The sequence below is a fragment of the Homo sapiens genome, chromosome 7, assembly GCF_000001405.40.
Source record: "Homo sapiens chromosome 7, GRCh38.p14 Primary Assembly".
Taxonomy (NCBI): Eukaryota; Metazoa; Chordata; class Mammalia; order Primates; family Hominidae; genus Homo; species Homo sapiens.
In genome coordinates, this window is record NC_000007.14 from 91,800,765 (window position 1) to 91,804,370 (window position 3,606).

At 46.4% G+C, this 3,606-nt stretch overlaps 1 long non-coding RNA gene across 1 annotated transcript; it reads right to left on the bottom strand.

The window, feature by feature from the left end:
* Window positions 1-226: 226 nt before the first annotated feature.
* LOC124901696 (uncharacterized) lies at window positions 227-1,759 on the bottom strand. Its single transcript, XR_007060429.1, has 2 exons — window positions 1,718-1,759; window positions 227-504 (listed from the first exon to the last, which is right to left on the bottom strand). It is a non-coding gene; the product is annotated as an uncharacterized LOC124901696 (long non-coding RNA).
* Between the last annotated feature and the right edge of the window lie 1,847 nt (window positions 1,760-3,606).

Here is a 3,606-nt window from a genome sequence, read left to right on the forward strand (position 1 = left end):
CCGCAGAGCCCTAAAGAGGGTGTCACAGTCATGGTGCAGATAGCTCCTAGGTCTGGGCTCCCTGAAGGGCTGCAGCTCTTCATTCTTCTTTCCTTCTTCTTACCCACAACATGGCAAGCAAGGGGTGTATTTCAGCCCTATTTGTGTTACAGCTCTTTTAGCCCCACCATTCAGTGAGTCCCAAGTTCTTGTCCTGCATCTAGGAAGAATGAGGTACACAGACAAGTGGAGGGTGAGCAAGGTGAAGAGGAGTTTTATTGGGTGACAGAACAGCTCAGAGGAGACCCACAGAGGGTAGCTCCTCTCCACAGCCAGGGTGTCCCAGTGAGTGTTCAGCTCTGAGCAGAGAGGAGACCCTGGAGTGAGGAGCTCCTCTCTCCACACAGGTTGTTTCGTCATCTACTCAGCTCTCAGCAAAAGGGAGACTCTTGAGCAGGTAGCTTCTCTCCGCAGCTAGCCGTCCCATTGTATCCTCGTCTGGCTGAATCCAGGGCTTTTATGGGCCTCAGAGGGGAGAAAGTGCACACTGATTGGTCCATGGACAGCCATGAGCAGGCCCAGAAAAAGCACCACAAGTTCCCACTTCAGTACATGGGACTGGCAGCCCAGCCCCTAGGCTTCAGACCCTCCCCAGCTTGAAGTTGGGGCTTGTCAGGGGACCCACCCCCTTCCACCCAGGAGCCTGATGCCTCCTGCCACTGTTCATGGTGCCCAGGCTGCTCATGCTAAGGGACACCTGCAGGCCAGCACCAAACTGCCCTCAGCCCCTCCTTGGCCTCCCTCCCATGCTCATCAGTGCCCAAAGTCCAGAGGGGGTGAAGCAGCAGGGGGCTGGTGTATCAGTGCTACCCCGAGCGTGCACATACCCAGCTGGGCTGTGACAATACCAAGGCTCAGCCCCAACCTTGCTCTGAAATCAGAGCAGGCACCAGGAGCAGTGAGAGTCCAGACATTGGAAGCAGACACCCTGAGCCTGCAGGGGCACGGGAGCCTTCCCAGGCCCCCGAGAGTGCAGAGATGCCCAGGTCTGCAGCCGCAACTTGGGTAGCTGCAGCTGTGCCCAGAAGAGTGGGGCTCCTGCCTGCTTCCAGCCCTTGCTGGCTCCATGGAACATGCAGCCCCAGCAGAGCCTCCCACACTGCAACCAGCATCATGGCAGCAGCCACTCCAGATGGGCCACTGCTGCCATCAATACAGTACAATTTTATTAACTTTAGTACTCATATTGTACCTTAGATCTCTAAACTTGTTCATCCTACGTAACTGCTATTTTATAGCCTTTAACCTACATCTCCCCATTTCCCCGCCTCCTCCCCTCCACTCATGGTAATCACTGTTTCATTTTCTAACTCTGTGTATTTGAGCCTATATAAGTGTGTGTGTGTGTGTGTGTGTGTGTGTGTGTGTGTGTGTGTATTCCACATATAAAAGTGAGATCATGCAATATTTCTCTCTCTGCATCTAGCTTATTTCACTTAGTATAATGTCCTCCAGGTCCATCCATGTTGTGGCAAATAGCAGGATTTCATTCTTTTTAAGGCTGAATAATATTCCATCGAATAGGCCAGGCGTGCTGGCTCACTCCTGTATTCCCAGCACTTTGGGAGCCCGAAGTGGGCAGATCACAAGGTCAAGAGTTCAAGACCAGCCTGACCAATATGGTGAAACCTCATCTCTACTAAAAATACAAAAATTAGCTGGGTGTAGTAGCACGCACCTGTAATCCCAGCTACTCAGGAGGCTGAGGCAGGAAACTCGCTTGAACCCAGGAGGTGGAGGTTGCAGTGAGCCGAGATCACACCGTTGCACTCCAGCCTGGGTGACAGAGCAAGACTCTGCCTCAAAAAAAAAAAAAAATCCCATTGAATATATACACATATATATATATACCACATTTTCTTTATCCATTTTTCTGTAAATGGACATTTAGGTTGTTCCATATCTTGGCTATTTTGAATAATGCTTCAGTGATATGGGAGTGCAGATATCTTTACAAGGTGGTCATGTAGTCCCATTTATTTATTTCTGTTTTTGTTGCCTGAGCTTTTGGTAGAATTTGTTTTTTAAAAGGTCACCCTGGCTATCCTATAAAGAACAGCTTGAAGGGGCAGAATACTTCGGAAGAACAAAAAGCTGTATTCATTTTGATTGCTACTGTAATAAATGGCCAAAAATTTAGTGGCTTTGACAATAGCAATTTATTAATATACAGTTCTGTAGGTTTGATGTCTAATATGGGTCTCACTGGGCTAAAATCAAGGTATTGGCACAGCTGCATTCCTTTCTGGGGGCTCTAGAGGTGAATCAATTTCTTGATTATTCAGATTGTTGGCAGAATTCAGTTCCTTGTGTTTTTAGAACTGAGGTCCCTGTTTTCTTGCTGGCTATAAATTGAGGGCCATTCTCAGCTTCTATAGGTCACTGATATTCCTTAGCTTGTGGCTGCCTTCCTCTGTCTTCAAAGTCAGTAACAGTGTGTTGACTCTTTCTCATGCTTCCAATGTCTCCTTCCATTTCATTTGTCTGATTCAGCCAAGAAATGTTTTTTGCTTTTAAGGATGCATGTGATTAAATCAGACCCACCAAGATAATTCCGTATAATCTCATTATCTGAAGGTCTCTATCCTTAAATCACATTGACAAATCCCTTTTGCCATGTAGGATAACATATTCTCAGGTTCTGAGAATTAAGGTGTTGACATCTTTGAGGGGGTAGGGGAAACAGCATTATTCTGCCTACCACAAAAGCTGTGTTAGCAGTTCTAAGTGAGAGATGAGGCCAATTCGACCAGTGTGGTGGCAATGAGAAAAGGTAGACAGATTTCAGGTATGTTTCGAAGACAGAACCAATTGGCTGGTTGGTGATCCTATAGGTGGACGAGTGGGTACAAGAGGAGGGAATCAAGGCTGGCTCCTAAATTCCTGGCCTTTCAGGCTCATCAGCTGAGTGTCAGGGAATGCCTTTCAAAAAATAAAGAAGTCTGGGAGTGAAACCAATTTTAGAGAAAAATTCAAGAGTTCTGTTTTCTATGGGACACACCTAGAGAAACATTAACCAGATTATCTCTGGGATCTCTTACCACTTTAACATTCTAAGAAGTCACTAAAAATATTTTCTCCATTCAGAAGCCATTGTGCCACAATTTTTATAACTAATATCTATTCCTATTATCTTAGGCAATATAATATATATCCAAGAGTAACTTGTTACTGACTCAACACATCCTTTGAAGTCGAAGGAAGCTCAGTATGTTATCTATTACTGTGTAAAAAATTATCCCAGGCCAGGCACAGTGGCTCATGCCTATAATCCCAGCCCTTTGGGAGGCCGAGGCGGGTGGATCACCTGAGGTCAGGAGTTCGAGACCAGCCTGACCAATATGGTGAAACCCCATATCTACTAAAATTACAAAAATTAGCCAGGAGAAGTGGTGTGCCCCTGTAGCCCCAGCTACTTGGGAGACTGAGGCAGAAGAATCACTTGAACCTGGGAGGTAGAGGTTGCAGTAAGCCAAGATCATGCCAATGTGCTCCAGCCTGGACGACAGAGTGAAACTCCATCTCAAAAAAAAAATTAGCCCAAAATTTAACAGCTTAAAACAATAG